The following is a 17,015-nucleotide window of genomic DNA, read 5'->3' as shown; positions in this document are numbered from 1 at the left end:
TGGTGTTTCCCCCAAAAATGTTGACGTCCTAACCCTAGCACCTTTGAATGTGCCTTTATTTGGAAATAGGGTATTTGCAGATGAACAGGTCAAGACAAGGTCATTAGAGTGGGCCCTAATCCATCGCCTGTTGTCCTTTGAAAGAAGGGGCACTTGAACCAGGCATGCATGCACTCGGGGAGCAAGCCCTGTGAGGGTGAAGGCAGCAATCAGGGTGACGTGTCCCCAAACCAGGGAATGCTGAGGATGCCAGCAACACTGTAAGCTGGAGGGAGCCTGGCACTGACCCCCTCACAACTTCAGAAGGAACCAGCCCTGCCATCACCTTGATTTTGGACTTCTCTACACAGCTGTGAAAGAATAAATTTCTTTTTTTAAAGCCACCTAGTTTGTGGTACTATTACGGCAGCCCCCAGAAACTAACACAGTGAGGCCCCATTTAGTACACATGGGAAGGTTAAAGTCTCCTAACTTAATCCTCCTAAAATAATCCTTTGAAAGCATAAGGAGAGGCTGTTAACACTTGCTCTTCATCTTTGATCCATGCTTTCCAGCCCTGATCAACTCTGCAGCAGCATCTCTCTGGATAGGGTGGCCTCATCACCAAAATCTCCTTGTCTTTCTAACATTTGGTCTTTCCAATGTGACCCATCTCTGACCCTGCTTTGGATTCACTTCTAGCTTGTAGGTAATCCCTTGCTTCTAATAACTTCCTTAACGTTCCATGTATTTCTTGGCCTGAATTATTTATTTCTAACGTCCAGTCATTGTGATGAATACATACAACTAAAATATTTAATCACATCTAATACAAATGCAATTAAATGACTACACTACAGGGTTCTGACTTCAATAGGCATAAGGTTGTCGAAGGTTATTTTTATGCCTTTTCACTGAGCATGGGTAACAACAGGTAAGGAAGCCTGATGTCTTTCATTTTTTGCTCAAATTGGGGTCCAGTGAAATACTGGCTAAAATGTAAATCACCTTCTTGCTCTCGTTCACTTCCTTCTCTCACTGCTGCCCCATATTTTCCTCAGTCTTTCTCAATTTTACTCAACAAGAAAAAAATAAGAAAGTAAATTTTAAAATAATAGAATGCCTTTGGCCACATGCGGTGGCTCACGCCTGTAATCTCAGCACATTTTGAGGCTGAGGTAGGGGGATCACTTGAGCCCAGGAGTTCAAGACCAGCCTGGGCAACATAGAGAGACATTGTTCTACAAAAAAAAAAAAAAAAACAACAAACAAACAAACAAACAAAAACAACAAAAAACAGCCAAAACAAAAAAAACTTTTTTTAAAGTTAGCCGGGCATGGTGGTGTGTGCCTGTGGTCCCAGCCACTCAGGAGGCTGAGGTGGGAGGACCACTTGGGCCCCAGAGGCTGCAGTGAGCAGTTACGGTGTCACTACACTCCAGCCTGAGCAACAGAGCAACATCCTGTCTCAAAAAAGTAGTTTAACATGTATAACTAAAAGTTATCATTTTCAAAGGGAGCATTTTCCCCAGATACATATATATTTGATGAACATATAAGATAAAATAATTATTCAAAAAAATAAAAAGGTGAATGAAAAGTTGTGGTTTCAGGGTGCCAGTGATCAATTAGTACTGACCCCTTTACTTTGTAAACTCCTGCCTTTGCACATGGACTGGACTGGTCATTTCTGTCACCGTCATGTACAATTCACAGTCTTGCTGCTGGTGGGACACATCAACTGTCCCTCATAACCGCCCGTGACGTTCGGAACTACAAACACTGTGTAACCTGATGGTTTTCCTAGAGAGAAGAGAACTCTGAACCCAGAAAGAAAGAAAGAATGTACTGGAACAGAATTGTTTCTAGGAGAGTTAATGAAATAGAAAGGTAGAATCTAGGGTAACTCTTAGAGCAGTTTTGCTGATGGTCAAAACTATTAGACTAAGCATCTTCTTTAGAAAGTTCGTAGAAATCCTGGCATGGGGAGCATCTGTGACCAAAATAGGCGACAAGCTGATGGACACGGTTTAGAAGTTCTTCAGCACGTGAGCGCACATGCTAGCATTCTGCCATCTCTAATTCTGTCTGACTTGCATAGATTTAAATTTGGTTATGTTAATCTGAGTAAGATGTTAACGTAAAAGCTTTCTTGCTCATTAAAAAAAAAAATTTATTTCAGCCTTTAAACTGAGAATACTACTAGAAATGTAGTCTCAATTCTAAAATACCGACTATGAAATATGGATAACAAAGCAAATTATCCACACGAAGGAAAATTATATAAAATTCTTAAAATAATTAAGCCAACACTTTATTATTCAAAAATGAACACATCACCTGTAGCAACTATTTGCAAAAAGCTAAAATTGTATTCAAAACCACAGCTTCAATTAAATGGTATAATTGCATAAACACAAAATGTAGGCAAAAATAGATAATTTTACATCAATCTGTTGGCTACAAGTTTGATATCAATTTGAATAGTATAGGTTTTCATAACACCCTTAGCACCCCCAGGGATTTTTTACAGTGCCCCAAGCTGAAATGCCTAACTATTCTGTTTGTTAAATAGTTAACTTCAAACAACTTCATATATATTTCTGTTCTAATAACGTAGCAGTCATTTTTTAAAGTGACACATATAGACTGAAATAAAGAATACTATTTTCACCTCACTTCTTGCACACCAGCCTTGCATACTGGTGGTCTGCACGTGCCTGTCTTGAGCCGCACGGCCTCTCCAGCCTTGCCTCTGGTTCCGCCCAACCCTGCATTTCCTGGTCTGCACTTTTCCCACAGGAATTGCTTTTGACACAGCAACTGCCAAGAACCCAGTTTCACAAAGATATGATGTCATCCAGGGAGTGTAGCTGCAAGTTCACCCTGGGAGTCTAAAGCTGCCTCCAGCTAGCTCACAGGGCCTGGGAAGAGAAGTCTAAAACTGCCTCCAGCTAGCTCACAGGGCCTGGGAAGTGAAGTCTAAAACTGCCTCCAGCTAGCTCACAGGGCCTGGGAAGTGGCCGGCGTTGCTGTTTCCCTCAGAATTTAAAGCTATGCTGAGCTTGTGGGGCTCTGGGGTTCCTTGGCTCACAGTTTGAGAAACCACAGGCATCACGGACCAGGTTGAGGTGGGTCCCGAGGCACCACCCTGTCACCAGGGAAGGGTGACATAATTGATATAACATTATCTATTTTTGCTGCTTTTGCACTGTGCTGACACCAATCATTCTGATTATCAAAAATAAATTCCTAGGTTTGTATATTTCAAATATCCAAGCAAGTAACACAGTCAAATCCACACTGCAGCAAGGGTTGGCACAAAGTGGAATCATAACCCGGCCCCGGAGGCAGAGCAGGTGGGACTAGCTGTGGGCCTATTTCTACGTCAAGATTCTGTCTCATGGTGTGCCCCGCAGAGGCCTCCTAATGGCTCCATGACAAAGCCAGAGTGTGGCCCAGCAGGGTCCCTCACAGTTCTGGTTTCAGTCTGGGGGAGGGAGTGGGGCTGCCTGTTCCCTGCCTGGCCTGCTCTTTCTGTGTGCCTGAACTAGCCCTGTGCACCTTATCTTAATATAATAGGACCCAACACAGCACAGCACAGCACAACACAACACAACACACAGTACAACACAACACACAGCACACTACAGCACAATTAACATAACACAACACAGCATAACACAACACACAGTACAACACAACACAACACACAGCACAGCACAACACAACACCACAACACACAGTACAACACAACACACAGCACACAGCACAATATAACATAACACACAACACAGCATAACACAACACAACACACAGTACAACACAACACACAGCACACAGCACAACACAGCACAGCACAATATAACACACAGCACAACACAACACATAGCACACAGCACACAACACACAGACAACACAACACACAGCACAGCACACAGCACATCAGCACAGCACAACACACAGCACAGCACAATACACAGCACACAACACAGCACAGCACAGCACAATACAGCACAACACAACACAACACAACACACAGCGCAATACAGCACAACACAACAGAACCAAACAGCATAACACAATACAGCACAGCACAGTACAACGCAACATAGTGTAACAATACAATACAACAAAACAGCACAGCACAATACAACACAACAGCACAACCTACAAGCATTCCTTGCACCAAACTACGTGGGGAATTATGCAGCAGGTCCCGGGGAATTCAGGGCTGGAAAGCGGGCTCCCTGGCCCGCAGTCCCAGGTCCAGTGTTGGCCTCACACAGACCCCCGCCCCGCCCTGTGGCTTCCTCCCGCAGCAGCTCAGGCACCCTCCCCAGCTCTCCTGCACCTGAGCAGGGGCCCACGCCCCGCCATGCAGCGGGAGCAGGCTGCTTATCTCCCCGGCTTTTCCAGCCCCTCATCTCTGGGCGCCGGACTGCGCTTTCTGTCTCTTAATAACCACAGCAACAGCAGCCTCAGCTGGGCAATGACTGACGTTCCTGGTGTTCTGTGACAGAGCCTTTGGGGTCCACGGCCCCCTCATGAGGACAGGCTGGTCCCATGTCCACAGGGACAGAGGGACTCCCTGGGCCGACACGGGCCAGCCTTTCCCTGTGTTGGCTCTGGGATCCCTGCGTCTGCCCTGCTGTACTGAATTAAACTCAGTAAATATTTATTGCCCCTCTGCTATGTGCCCAGGGCTGTGCTGATTCTGGAAATAAAAACTTTAAAAGTCTAGCCAGACACAGTTGCTGTGCCTGGGGAGGCCAGGTGATGAGGGGGGGACCTGCCTCCATGTGCTTCTACCCAGGAGCACCGCTGCCTCAGGACACATTCCACAGGGGGGAAGGCTTCACTCACCCAGTGGAGGAGGACTCGCTGCGGCAGGGGCTGCAGGGGCAGGCATGGGGCCTTGGCCCTTCTTTGGTTAAGTTTTGAAAAAAATTCTCAAGTGATGAAATCACCTTAAAATGTTATTGCAAATGTTCTGTTTTTCTCAAACCTAATTTAATATCATCAGAATTGGCTCAAATTAAGTAAAAACATGTTATTCAAATTGGTATTGAGCTTTTAGTTTATAGATTGATTTAAAATGATCCATTTTGCTTTTATTATATCTTAATGCAATTGCATGATTTAATTTGAGCTGTGATTTTAAATATAATTTTATTTTTCTGCAAATAGTTGCTACAGGTGATATATTCATTTTCAAATAATAAAGTGTTGGTTAAAACATTTCAATAATTTTATATAATTCCCAAGTAAGTAAATAACTTGGTTTGTTATCCAAATTTCACGGTCAGTATTTTAAAATTAAGAACATATTTAAAGCATTATTCTCAGTTTGAAAAACTAAAATATATCTCTTCTAAATAAACATTTTAAATTTTAAAATATTTGTAAAATTCTCTTATTTAAAATTTATTTTTCTTACATGCTATTCAAACAGAGAATGAGTTCCTCCACAACCATCCCCTAATCTGTATCTCTATCTAGAAATATAATGAATGCTCTCTTCATTATGAGCAGCAGTATGGTAACATCCATAATGCCAAATTAAATGCTTTGTAGATAAAATACTGTTGATACACAATAATTTATTCTGTTTAGCCCCTTCTATTTGCATAACCCCTTTGTCTCAAAGAAATCTGAAGTACTTATTCTATCAAGCCTTTCTAATAAGATCTTCCCATTTTACAGATGATACTATCGAGAAATTCAGTAGCTACATACCATATCATCATTATTATTATAGTTATGATCTATTGGACAGAGGCAGTTCAACCCTGTTGCGGCACTATTACATGGCCCTTCTCTGACATTTCAAAGGTCCTTAAAATAACCCTCAACAACATGAGTGTTTTGGCCTATATTGTATTCATAAGGATTGCACAGAGCCAGTCTACTTACATACAAATTAGTTTGTTACAATTAGAAATTGATGAGACACAATCCATGACTGTGTGTAGTCCTTTTAATCAACCTTTCTTTAAATCAAAGATCACATGTGGTTTCTGCTTCCCTTGTTCCACACTGACTGCACTTCAGGAGAGTTAGGATGTATTTACAGGCAGCTAACACAACCCGTAGGAAAATGGAACTAAAATCAGTACATCAGTCTTTTCTATTAGGAAGATTCTAATAATTCAGCTCAAAAATTTTTTTTAGTCTTCCACTAATTTAATTTTTTTCAAAAATCATCTCAATTGAACAATTAAGTAAGAGCACTTTATAAATAATAAATAGCTACTCAAATTTAAATGATGTAGTCTTAGTAGCTACTTACCATAAAAAAAAAAATAGGCCCATCTCCTAACACGGGTTTCCCAAGTGTCATCCAGGACTGGCCTCAAAATCTCCCCCAAGTGTGTCTAAGAAAGGGCAGATCCTTGAGGCCCGCTGGAGCCCCAGAAGCAGCCTACCAGCGGCACTGGGTCTGAGAACCTGAATTTGGAGCCAGCTCTCCTAGTGATCCCATGCACCTTGATGCTGAAAGACCATTGCCCTTGCAAACCTCTGAGTTTCAATCTTTGACCACCAAGACCAATCCGAAGCAATCATTCATTAAAAAACAAAGCAACTATCACATACACTCTGTTCAAATTTACATTGCAATCTGTATCTACTGATAAAGAACATCCAACATGCACATCTCATGGGAAGGCCACCTGAGGGAGTATTTATTGGAGCACCAGGAAGTCACAGGCTCCACCGTGGGTGTACCTCCTCTGCAAAACCTTCCTCGGTTCTCATACACTGGGCCAGAGCACCCTACCTGAGCATCTGGCATGGGCCTGTGTCCCACACCCATAACCCTCGACATCATACTTGCCTGTGTGATCATCAGTCTCACCCACCAGATGGTGAGCCCTGTCGGGTTGATCTTTGCATCCTCAGCACCTGGACACAGGTTGCATACATAGCATGTGTTCATACTCAACTTGAACACGTAACAAACTTGTAATAAATGCTTGTTGAACAGATGAAAGAACGAATGTCGTAACTGTCAAGCAACTTTACAGAGAAATCACTATTAATATGGATACATGGAAAGACTGTGGTTTGTATCATTTCCATTGTTTCCTGCCGAGGGCAGATCTGGCACTTAATGTCCCAATTGTCCATTGGACGTGCCCTGAGCTCACACGGGCTTCCACTCCAGATGATTCTGGAGCGAGTGCTTCCTATTTGCTGGGCCCTGCATGCACCTTAGATGATGCATCCCTGGGAAGCTGGTTTTGTAATTTCTGCTTTACATCTGAGGAAATGGACTCAGAGGTAAGGACATTTGCCCAAGGACACAGAGCTAATCTCTGGCCTGCATGACACGGTGAAAACGGCCAGTTTTTACAAGGAAACTTCATTCTTCAGTTCAATTTCTAACATAAAGAGCTGGCTTCTGCTTCTCCATCTACCTGGACACTCTCACCACTGAAGTTCAGGCTTTTCCACTTACTGAAATGTCCCACTGGAGTTTGAATTACCTAAAACACGGGGTTGCTAAACCCTTTCTGAGGTTAAAATATTGCTCACCTGGCTTTCCTTCTGTTCTGTTACTTAGAACGAAAATGATACGTTGGCCTCTGCTTTGAATTTTTTCAGGTTGATCCTGACACCACTAGTCTAATGTTTCTAGGTTCTAGGTACCTAGAAGGCACCTCTGCCCTGCAAATTCCAGGGACCCATCCTGACCTGGGAAATCCCAGGTCAGTTCCTTAGCTGCCCGAGACTCGTTTCTGTGTCTTAGGAGTGCATAGGACTAGCGCAGAGTGCTATTGCTGCCACTAAATATCATCTCTCGTTAGCATTTCCGGGGTGCTCAGAGAGAAAACAATGTCTGGGTGATGACTCTTGTCAGTCTCCCCATTGTCAAACCCCATCTCACGTTCCTCCACACTCACAATATTTCCCCATTGGGAACATGCCTGACATTGCAATTTCTCAAAACTGCAGCTCTGCAGTGAATGCCTAATTCCTGAAACTGCAAAATCTAACAAAAGCGGATTTTTTCCACTGATTTGACTGGCTGACTATTTCAGGGCTTTGCATGTGATGACCTGCTGCTCTCCACAAACAACGTCTTCAATGCACCCACATGGTTGCTCTGAAGTGGCCGAGGGCAATTACAGCCTCGCCAGCTGCCTACCGGGCATCGGGAATTACTCACAAGGTCCAGTGTTTCTGCCGCAGACACGATTTCCCCACAAGTCACACTTAGCAACTCGCCAGGCAGCGTTCTGTGGCTTGATTTTGAACCCAGAACCCATTTTCCATCACAGCGCCCCCATGTCACCCAGGGTAAGCTGTGGACAGGTCATTCACTCAGAGTTGCTTGTTTTGTGTTGTTTTTAAAAACTGCTTTGTCCTTTGTTTTTGTTTGAGTGTTGGTGTTTCATATCGGCAGATGAAAAGTAATTTAGACGAAAATATGTCAATTCTGTTCTTTTTATTTTTACTATCAAAATAGACGATCATTTTCCGTCTTTGGATCTATCACTTGCTCGGGTTCTTCACGTGTTTTTCATGTGAAAACTCTTGCTGTTGTACTTTCAGCACAAATTTCCAGCTTGGCTGCTAGGGAAGATGCATTTATCTGCTTTCTTCCCTTGCCCCCTGACCTCCCTCTCCTCTTCACCCACACTCGGTTTTCACTCCTTTCCCGCGGAGCCGCGGCTTTCCCTCCGTGATGAAAAACGCCACGCGCAACGCCCGGGAGCCGCAGCTCTGCCCGGGTGGAGAAAGCGGTGTCGTGACAAACAGCATTGATATTTTATACCCCGATTCTGCGTCACACACGCCCCCCAGAAATAGATCCAGGGCTGCGAAGAAGCTCGGATAAGGCGAAGATTCCTGGAGAGCCTGGGGACGCAGTCGTCCGGGAGAGGAACCAGGCCTTCCTGTGATTTTTTTGTTTCTTATGGAAATTAAGAAACAGTTTCTAAAACAGAGCCTCTGGGGCAGAGAGCGCAGGCAACCTTCTCCCCAGTCTTCCCTCCAGAGGAGCAGCCGAAGCGGCCCCGGGGAATGGAAAAGGCAGGTGTTTATGAAGGAGATGGAGTCCTGGGGGGCAGCCAGTCACGCCCTGCAGGCCCCAGTCCGCGCCCGGGTCGCTGGTGCGCGCTCCCCTCGGCGCCCGTCCCCGATGACGCTGAGGCCCTGGGGCGCTGTGGCCGCGTCCCCTCCCCCTCCCCTCTCTCACGCCGGACCCGGCCGGTACCCGGCCTCCCCTCCCCCTCCCTTCGCGCCCACTTGTTGCCGTCCGGCCCGAGCCGTGCTCGTTCCGCCGGCTGAGTGTAAAAGGGTTTGACTTGCGGCTGACCCCGGGTCAGCACTTTCTCTCCACTAATCCTGCTCTCCTTCTACACAAAACCCTCGGCCCCGTCCCTCGCAGCACTCATCTTAATCTCCACCCGCCCCCCGCCGGCGGCTGACACCGGCGCGGACCTGAGGGAGATGGGCTCCCAGGGCGCCCGGGGACCCCTGCGCCCTCCCGCCCCGAGGCTGCGGGGACGGGGCCGAGGCAATGAGGGGACTAGTAGGGGGAGCGCGGGCCGCCCCGAGACTCGTGCCCCATCCCGCCCCGACCTCCGACTGGGCGCCCAAGGGCCGGAGAGGGACGGAGAGGGGAGCCGCGCGCGGGCCTCGGCGGGGGAGCTTCAAAGACAAAGAGGAGGCCGGGCCGCGCTGAGAGAGGCCGGCGGCGGAGACGCAGCTCGGTGCGGGAGTCAGAGGGCGGTGGAGACGGCACAGGGACTGGAGAGGCGGTGGGAGTGGATGGCGGGGGCGGGGAGGGAACGCCGTGTGCCGGGACCCCAAGGACAGCGGCGCGGTGTGCGGGGCTCAGCCGCGGGCAGAGCCGGAGAAAGGGCGACTTGGAGAGGCGCAGGCAGGGGGGTGCGCCCGGGAGGCCCGAGGCCCCGAGGAGGCCCGGCCACCCCCGCCCGGAGGGGACACGTCCGGACCAGCCGCAGACGCCGCTCGGCTCCCGGGGGCGGGAGGAGCGTGGTCCCGGCGGGCGCGCAGCTGGAGAGGAAGGGCCGGGGAGGGAGGAGGGAGAGAGGGAGGGAAGAACGGGGGAGGCGGGGAGGAAGAGGGAGGAGGAGAGCTCGCCCTCAGGCAAGGGGAGGTGATCCCGAGGCCTGGCTCGGGCGGGAGCAGAGGACTGGGTGAGGGGTCCCTGCGTCCCCACCTCCCGGCCTGGGCCTCCACGCGAGCCCCCCCGCCGGCCCTCGCTCCGTCCTGACGCCGCCCCACCCCGCCGGATACTGGGGGCCCGCACCCCGCTCACTTTTCCCCATCTGGCCTGGCCTTTCAGTCTCGCCAGATAGTCACGCTGGAAAGAGAGCCGCGCCAAGGCCAAGTCTGCTTTTCACTTGAAGTTTCCAAGGACTCAGACCGGGGGTTAAATTCTGCCGCCGACGCCTCTGGAGCCGCTGCCCCCGGGCCCAGGCCGAGCGTGGGTGGGGAGGGGGCGGGAGTCGGCCGGAGCCCGACGGGGTCGAGGGGGCGCTGGAGTCCGGGCTGGCCTGAAGCGAGCCTTCGGGGGGGGGCGGGCACACGTCCGGGGATGGGTTTCTTGAATTAACTGGAATTTTCCGGAGACAGAAATCTGCGGCGCCCAGTCTTTGCCGGGGGAATGAAACGCGGGAGCATGAGTGCCGTTCTCCCACACGCGTGATTTTAATAGACCTATCAGTCACGCTCCCGACGCGCATCTGGAGATCACGCTGTGCCCGAGTCTTCTTTAAAACTAATCCATCTAGTACGTTACGGGTGGGTTTCTCCGGGGAAGGGGACGTCAAAATCTCAACAACAAAAGGGGCGGGTGAGTTGAAAAACAAAACAAGGCAAAAACAGAACAAAACAAAGCAAAAAAACCCTCAAGTAAACCCTCCTACCCTCAGTTTGGAGGGCAGGGCCCGAGCGCAATGGCAGATTTACGAAGTCACACTGTCGCCCCCGCAGAAACTGATGCAAACTTTGCACTAGGCCTCAAAGACTCCTATCCGCCTTCCCTACACGGGTTGCAAACATAATTGGACTAAGCGACAGAAGCACCACCCTGTGATTTGGGAAGTGAATGAAGTCGTCATATAATATAATAACTATCATCATATAGTATTTCACTCCGTGAATACGATGAGTGTTACCTTGGCCAAGCACCGAATTCACAGTCGGCTCAGGGCCTACTGTAATCTTTTCTCCACTAATTTGAATTGGAGCGACACTGCTGGGGGCGGGGAAGGGGGGATAGAATCTCAATCCTGAGATGAATCTCAGCTAATTTCCTTGCCCCCACCCTGTGATATTTTTAAATGGAGTCATTAAAAATTTATATTTGCTTTTTTCTGTGTTGTTCTAATCAACAAAACAAGGAAATAAGGTGGTTGGAGCACCTGGCATTGGCTATTTCAGCTGACTGTGCACGAAGCACCTGCAATAAGATGCCAAACTGTAAAAGCTGCTTGCCTGGCGTCCCGGGCGCACTAACTCAGCTTTTCATAGTCTGTGCCTCTAAAGTGGGGCCCACATCCTAATCTTGAGCCAAGACCTAGATGCCAACAATTGGACACAGAAACTCCAGGGTACACACAGGGGAGCACAGGGGCCAGACTGAGAGTGGACGTCAGTCAAAGAACCTCAGAGAGAGTCCTTTAAGTTTGTATATTTCAGAGAAAACCCTCAAGGTCCCATTGGACCCTCAAGGTCCCGGTGAGTTAACAGAACAAGCATTATAAAATTTCCCAAATCATCTCCCGGAGAGGACTGGGGAGGCCCTTATCCCGGACTAAGTCGTAGTGGTGCTCAGCCATCCATGGGCGCACAGACTCTTCCAGAAACAACTGCTTCAGAAAGGATCAAATAGCTAAAAGAAATAAAAATAAAGAAAAAGAAAAGAGGGGGGGGGTTTATTATCTTGTTAGAAAGCAGTGGACATCATTCTTGAACTTTTTTGTAATCACTTTAACGAATGAGTGGTTTAAGCAAAATTATCAAAATGACTTCCCAAATTACACGTCAATTGTCAGATCAGCATTATACTTAAAGCTATTCTCGAATGCAGGCTGAATTCGGTTCTCATTAAACTTATAGCATAGGCTCACTTTTGGACGGACAGTCCATACTCCAGGACAAGGAAGGGTGTTGAGAAAGCGAGGGGAAACCTAAGGCTGCTGAAATAAACGTATTTCCATCTGGGCTTCAAGTGTTTTTTTTTTCCAAAAATATAATTTCATCTTAACGTTGTGATTAATTTTTAAATGTATTTGCTACAGTATAATTTTTAAATGCAATATTTAATGCTGTCAGATTACTTGAAGACAAAGTTTTACAGAAATTTTTAAATTTCAAAAAAAAAACTGCAATGTACCAATAAACACCTAGAAAATAATATAATTAAAAAATTTAAAGCATCAAACAACCTCAAGATCTCGTCAGGAATAATGAACAAGGCATTTTGCGTTCACATCGGTTAGCAACTTGCATCCCAGTTCACGCGGGGGAGGGTGATGGTCGATATTTCTGTGTGTGTGAGAATCCAGCACAATTATTTTGCCCGTTTTCCCAAGAGAAAGAAGCCAGGGGGAGGGGCAGAGGATGGACGGAGGGGGCTCGGCTGCAGTACGTTTTGGTTCAGCGATTGTGTTTCCTTGAAACACATTTAGATAAATTCTGCTCGAAATCTTAATTGCTGGGGAATTGGGAAACCCGTGACCTGCCCTGGTCTTTGTCCTTCATCCATGGCCTGGTCCAGGGTCCCACCACTGGGGTCTTCCCTTCCTCCTCCCTCCTCTGGACCAAACTGTGGCGCAGACCCCCAGCCAGGTGGAAGGCGCCCCGCTTGCAGCAAGGTAACGCGCAGCAGCCCCAGCCGTCCGCAGTGAAACAGCCGGAGCAGAAGATACTTTTATTTCTCGGCCCGTATTAACACTCAGCTCTACAAAATAACCTATAGGTTTTAACTTCCTTCTCTTTCATTGAAAAAGGTTCCTTGAAAAATCCTGTCCTCCCATTCCCCGGGGTTCCCTTACTTTTAGTTCATACAGATAATTTCCCTGTCAGATTTCCTCATTGCATTTTGAACTCATAAAACATGCACATAAAAATAGCATGTTACAAATTTATGGAGAAAATGGGCTCTGTCTCTTAAATTTGTTGACTCGAAACATTTTGGGTGGGGGGTCTTTTTTCGTTTTTAGAAGAAAGGCTTTTTAGAAAACTATGTACATAATCTGACTTCTCCTCCCCGCATTGCAACGCCGAAAATAAAATTTTTCACAATGCATTTACAAGAAATAATACAAAACCCAAAAAAAAAAATGGAAATGCTCAGATACATAAAGTTTTACAAAACCCAGAATATAACTCCGCCGTCTGAAGGAGGGGGTGGTGGTGGTAATCTCTTTGTATAAATTAACAAACCAACCCAAAAGAGCGGTAACAACTACAAAAAACTTGTAAGTGCTTGGACCTGCCTTACTACATTTATAACAAATGCGACGAGCTCCGCGTCACTTGGGCTCCGGCGGTCGGCGCCGTCCGGAAGCAACGCGGAGGAAAGTGAGCGCGCCGGCCGGTATACAAAAGTGGGCTTCGCCTCTCGCCTCGTTTTGACTTTTTTGTCCCCTCGAGCAAAGAAAACGCTTTCCGCTTCCTCCGTAGGTGATAAATACTGTACAAAAAGTCTCAAGAAAACACCGAAGTTCAGTCTAAAACCCAAGTCTGGTGTCAGCGCCCGGCGGTCGCCAGGGTCTCCGGGGAAGGTGAGTGGGGGACACGCGTCACCCGGCGTTCGTCTCCAGTATTTTCCTTTTGACAAGAATGTGGGAACGTCTGTACAAAAGCCACGCCGCGCCGGGGCGGGGCGGGAGCCGGGCGCGGGCCGCGAGCTCGTGGGTCGCCGCCGCAGAGTCCCCGGCGTCCCGAAGGCGCTAGATGTGCGTCAGGGGCACCGTGCCGTTCACGCCCGCGCCCGCGCCCTGGTAGTGCTGCGGCAGCGAGTGCAGCCGGCTCTGCGCCGCGGCCGCTGCTGCCGCCGCCGGGTCGCCCCCCTCGCCGGCGGGCAAGTACATGCTGATCATCTCGCGCAGGTCCCCGGGGCACGGCGCCCGCGAGTGCGCTGGGGCGGGCGGGCTGCCGCTGGGCTCCGACTTCACCAGAGAGCCCAGCGCGCCCAGGGCGCCCGACGACGCGGCCGCCGCCGCCGCCGCCGCCGCCACGGCCGAGTTCTGGTGCGCGCCGCCCGCAGCGGCGGCGGCGGCGGCCGCGGCGCCGTAGGGGAGGCCGCCGTAGCCCGAGGGCGACGCGCTCATGTAGCCCTGCGAGTTGGAGATGGGGCTGTACTGCAGCGCGCCCATGTCGTAGCGGTGCATGGGCTGCGGGTTGTGCGGGTGCGCGTGCGGGTGGTGCGGGTGCGGGTGCGCGGGGTGCGCGTGCGGGTGCGCGCCGCCCGCGCCCGGGTGCTGCCCGTAGGCCAGCTGCGCCTCCTGCATCATGGCCGCGGCCGCCGCCGCCGCCGCCACCGAGCCGGGGTAGGCGCCGTTGGCCCAGCCGTTGACGTGCGCGTAGCCGCCGCCCGCCGCGCCGCCTGGGCTCTCCAGGCGCTGGCCCACGGCCGCCGCGCCCACGCCCACGCCCACGCCCATGGCCACAGCCGCGCCGCCGCCACCCGCGCCGGCCGCCAGGAGCCCGCCGGCCAGCGAGTACTTGTCCTTCTTGAGCAGCGTCTTGGTCTTGCGGCGCGGCCGGTACTTGTAATCCGGGTGCTCCTTCATGTGCAGCGCGCGCAGCCGCTTGGCCTCGTCGATGAACGGCCGCTTCTCGGCCTCGGACATGACCTTCCACTCGGCCCCCAGGCGCTTGCTGATCTCCGAGTTGTGCATCTTGGGGTTCTCCTGGGCCATCTTGCGCCGCTGCCCGCGGGACCACACCATGAAGGCGTTCATGGGCCGTTTGACCCGGTCCTGGTTGGCCTTGGCGCCCCCGCCGCCGCCGCCGCCCCCGCCTCCGCCCCCGCCGCCGCCCGCCCCGGCGGGGCCCGAGAGGTTCGTGGGGGCCTGGGCGCCGCCGGGCGAGTGCAGGTCGGTCTCCATCATCATGCTGTACATCGGGGCGGCTGGCGGGTTCACCGGCACCGCGAGGAGAGGGCCTGGAGCATAGACGGCCGGGGTGGGAGGGAGACGGAGAGGAATTCAGACGGAGTGAGACGGGGGCGGGGGGGTCCTAGCGGAGAGAAGAATGGGGAGGGGTGGAGGCAACGACAACAAAAAAAGGCAGAAACACACGCACTCGGCGCCGGTTCGGCTCGCAGGTGGAAAGTTTCTCCTGATGCACAAACCACTTGCCAAAGAGGCCGACGGTCGGGGTCGCCGTCTTCGCCGCCACCGCAGCCCAGGCGCCCTCGGCGGAGCGGTGCAAACAGGTGCAGTCGTGGCCAAGTTGCAGCTCCGCTTTTGGGGCCGGGAGCGGTGCGCTGGGCCCGGCCCGGGGTGTGCTGTCTCCTCGCCGGCCGCCGCTGCGCGCTGTCTCCTTCCTCCTGCGCTCGGTCCTCAGCGGCCTCCAACTCGGAGGCTGCAACTTCTAGCAGGGCGGCGCGCCGCGTGCGCTGGGCATGTGCTGGTCCCAGGTGCCCGGGGGAAGCCAGGCGCCAGTGGCGGGGGGGGGGAGGCGCAGGGGGGCCTGCAGGGGGCGATTACGGTGCAGCCAGGGAGGGGCCCGGGGACAGCGGGAGGAGCGCGGGCTCGCGGAGAGGGCCGGAGAGCCGGGGCCGCCGAGCCCGGGATGGGCTGCCCGCTGCCTGCCCGGGGCCGTGCGCTCGGAGCGGAGGCGCACGCGGGGCCGGCGGCGCGCGGGGCCCAGCAGCCATACGCCGGGCCCGGGCTGCCATTAAATGAGCGCGCCGCGGCCAATGGGAGCCGGCGGCGGCGGTGATTTGCATGGCGCGCTGGCGAGTGACGTGGGGAGGGAGTAGATACACTGGGCGCGGGCGGCGGAGCGGGGAGGAGGGGAGGAAGGAGGGGGAGCAAAGCAGGAAGGAGGGGGGAGGAGGCCCGGGAGGGGGTGACAGCCACACCGCTTCCTGAGCGCGCGCGCGCGGCGGCGGCGGCGGCGGCGAACCCCGAGCTCGCCCTCCTCGCCGCTCCCCGCCCGCGCGTTCCGAATGATTAACGATTGGGTTGAAAAGCGAAGACTAAGAAAGGATCGTCGTGGGGTGGGGGGAGGAAACGCAGCCCCTGGCCAGGTTTAAACGGGCGCAGTGGAGACCCAGCTCCTCCTCTGCCCCCGCCGGCCAACTCTGTGCCTGCAGGGAAGGGGAAAGTTGAGTGCGGGGCTGGCACGTCGCCCTCAGTTCCCCCGAGTGCTGAAAAGGAGGGGCGCTCCCTTGGACGCAGGGGATACCCTCCGAGGGCCCCTGCAGGTTCTCTGCAAGGATCAGGCGGCTCAGCCATCCCCCGCCCTGCATCCGTTCTCGGCCGCGGCGTGCACTGAAGTTCGCCAGTGCCCGCTCTTGCAGCGAAGGCCTTCACAGTCCAGGCCCCACAATTCGGGTAAAGGGGGAGTATTTGTGTGGGCATGGCTCCATAGCTTCGTTTAGTATCAGCCCTAAACTTTTGTGGGGAGGAGTCTTTCAATGAGCCCGGGGCCATAGTCACGCACTCTTCCCAACCCGGATCTTCTTCCTCTGGAAAAGGAATTTCTAGGAAGGCCGAACACAACAAGATCTATCTGGAATCTAGTTCCTGAACAACAGTTGAAAAAGTTTGTTGAATCGCAAAATAATGATATGGCGCACGCTTTTCTGGAGTGAATTTCCCACGAGCTGGTTGCCTAAGAACGGAGAAAACTGCGTGAACTGCGCGGGGCCACATAAACCGAATGAAAGGCGGGGCCTCAGGACGGGTCTCAGCCGCCGGTCTGCGTCATGCAAAGGAAAGGCCTGGCTCGTGGAAAGAGTAAGGCATTCACCTGTGGTTATCATTCTTAAACCTCAAAGTGGCTTTGATTTGGGAACGTGAAAGAGATTTTCAAAC

At 51.6% G+C, this 17,015-nt stretch overlaps 1 protein-coding gene and 1 long non-coding RNA gene across 2 annotated transcripts in view, besides 2 other annotated features; both read right to left on the bottom strand.

Moving 5' to 3' along the window:
* The window catches only part of SOX1-OT (SOX1 overlapping transcript), a 135,706-nt gene that overhangs the window by 25,265 nt on the left and 93,426 nt on the right, over positions 1 to 17,015 (bottom strand). The gene's annotated exons all lie outside the window — the stretch shown is intronic.
* Positions 7,646 to 8,426: an enhancer, noted in NCBI's record as "H3K4me1 hESC enhancer chr13:112728639-112729419 (GRCh37/hg19 assembly coordinates)". NCBI's record gives its function as "activates a minimal SCP1, AML or CMV promoter by ChIP-STARR-seq in naive H9 embryonic stem cells {active_cell/tissue: H9 hESC(naive)}" and the evidence as "EXISTENCE:reporter gene assay evidence [ECO:0000049][PMID:30033119]".
* Positions 8,427 to 9,207: an enhancer, noted in NCBI's record as "H3K4me1 hESC enhancer chr13:112727858-112728638 (GRCh37/hg19 assembly coordinates)". NCBI's record gives its function as "activates a minimal SCP1, AML or CMV promoter by ChIP-STARR-seq in naive H9 embryonic stem cells {active_cell/tissue: H9 hESC(naive)}" and the evidence as "EXISTENCE:reporter gene assay evidence [ECO:0000049][PMID:30033119]".
* On the bottom strand, positions 11,045 to 15,602 carry SOX1 (SRY-box transcription factor 1). The gene has a single exon (NM_005986.3). It carries the CDS (start codon positions 15,090 to 15,092, stop codon positions 13,917 to 13,919), a length of 1,176 nt encoding a protein of 391 aa, NP_005977.2. The 5' UTR covers positions 15,093 to 15,602; the 3' UTR covers positions 11,045 to 13,916.

The sequence above is a fragment of the Homo sapiens genome, chromosome 13 (genome assembly GCF_000001405.40).
Source record: "Homo sapiens chromosome 13, GRCh38.p14 Primary Assembly".
NCBI classification, from domain to species: domain Eukaryota; kingdom Metazoa; phylum Chordata; class Mammalia; order Primates; family Hominidae; genus Homo; species Homo sapiens.
Note: the sequence above shows the minus strand (reverse complement) of the source record. Positions and strands in the feature narration are given on the sequence as shown.

Excerpts from the sequence above, each read along its gene's own strand:
- SOX1 (NM_005986.3), bottom strand. The coding sequence starts at position 15,092 with ATGTACAGCATGATGATGGAGACCGACCTGCACTCGCCCGGCGGCGCC.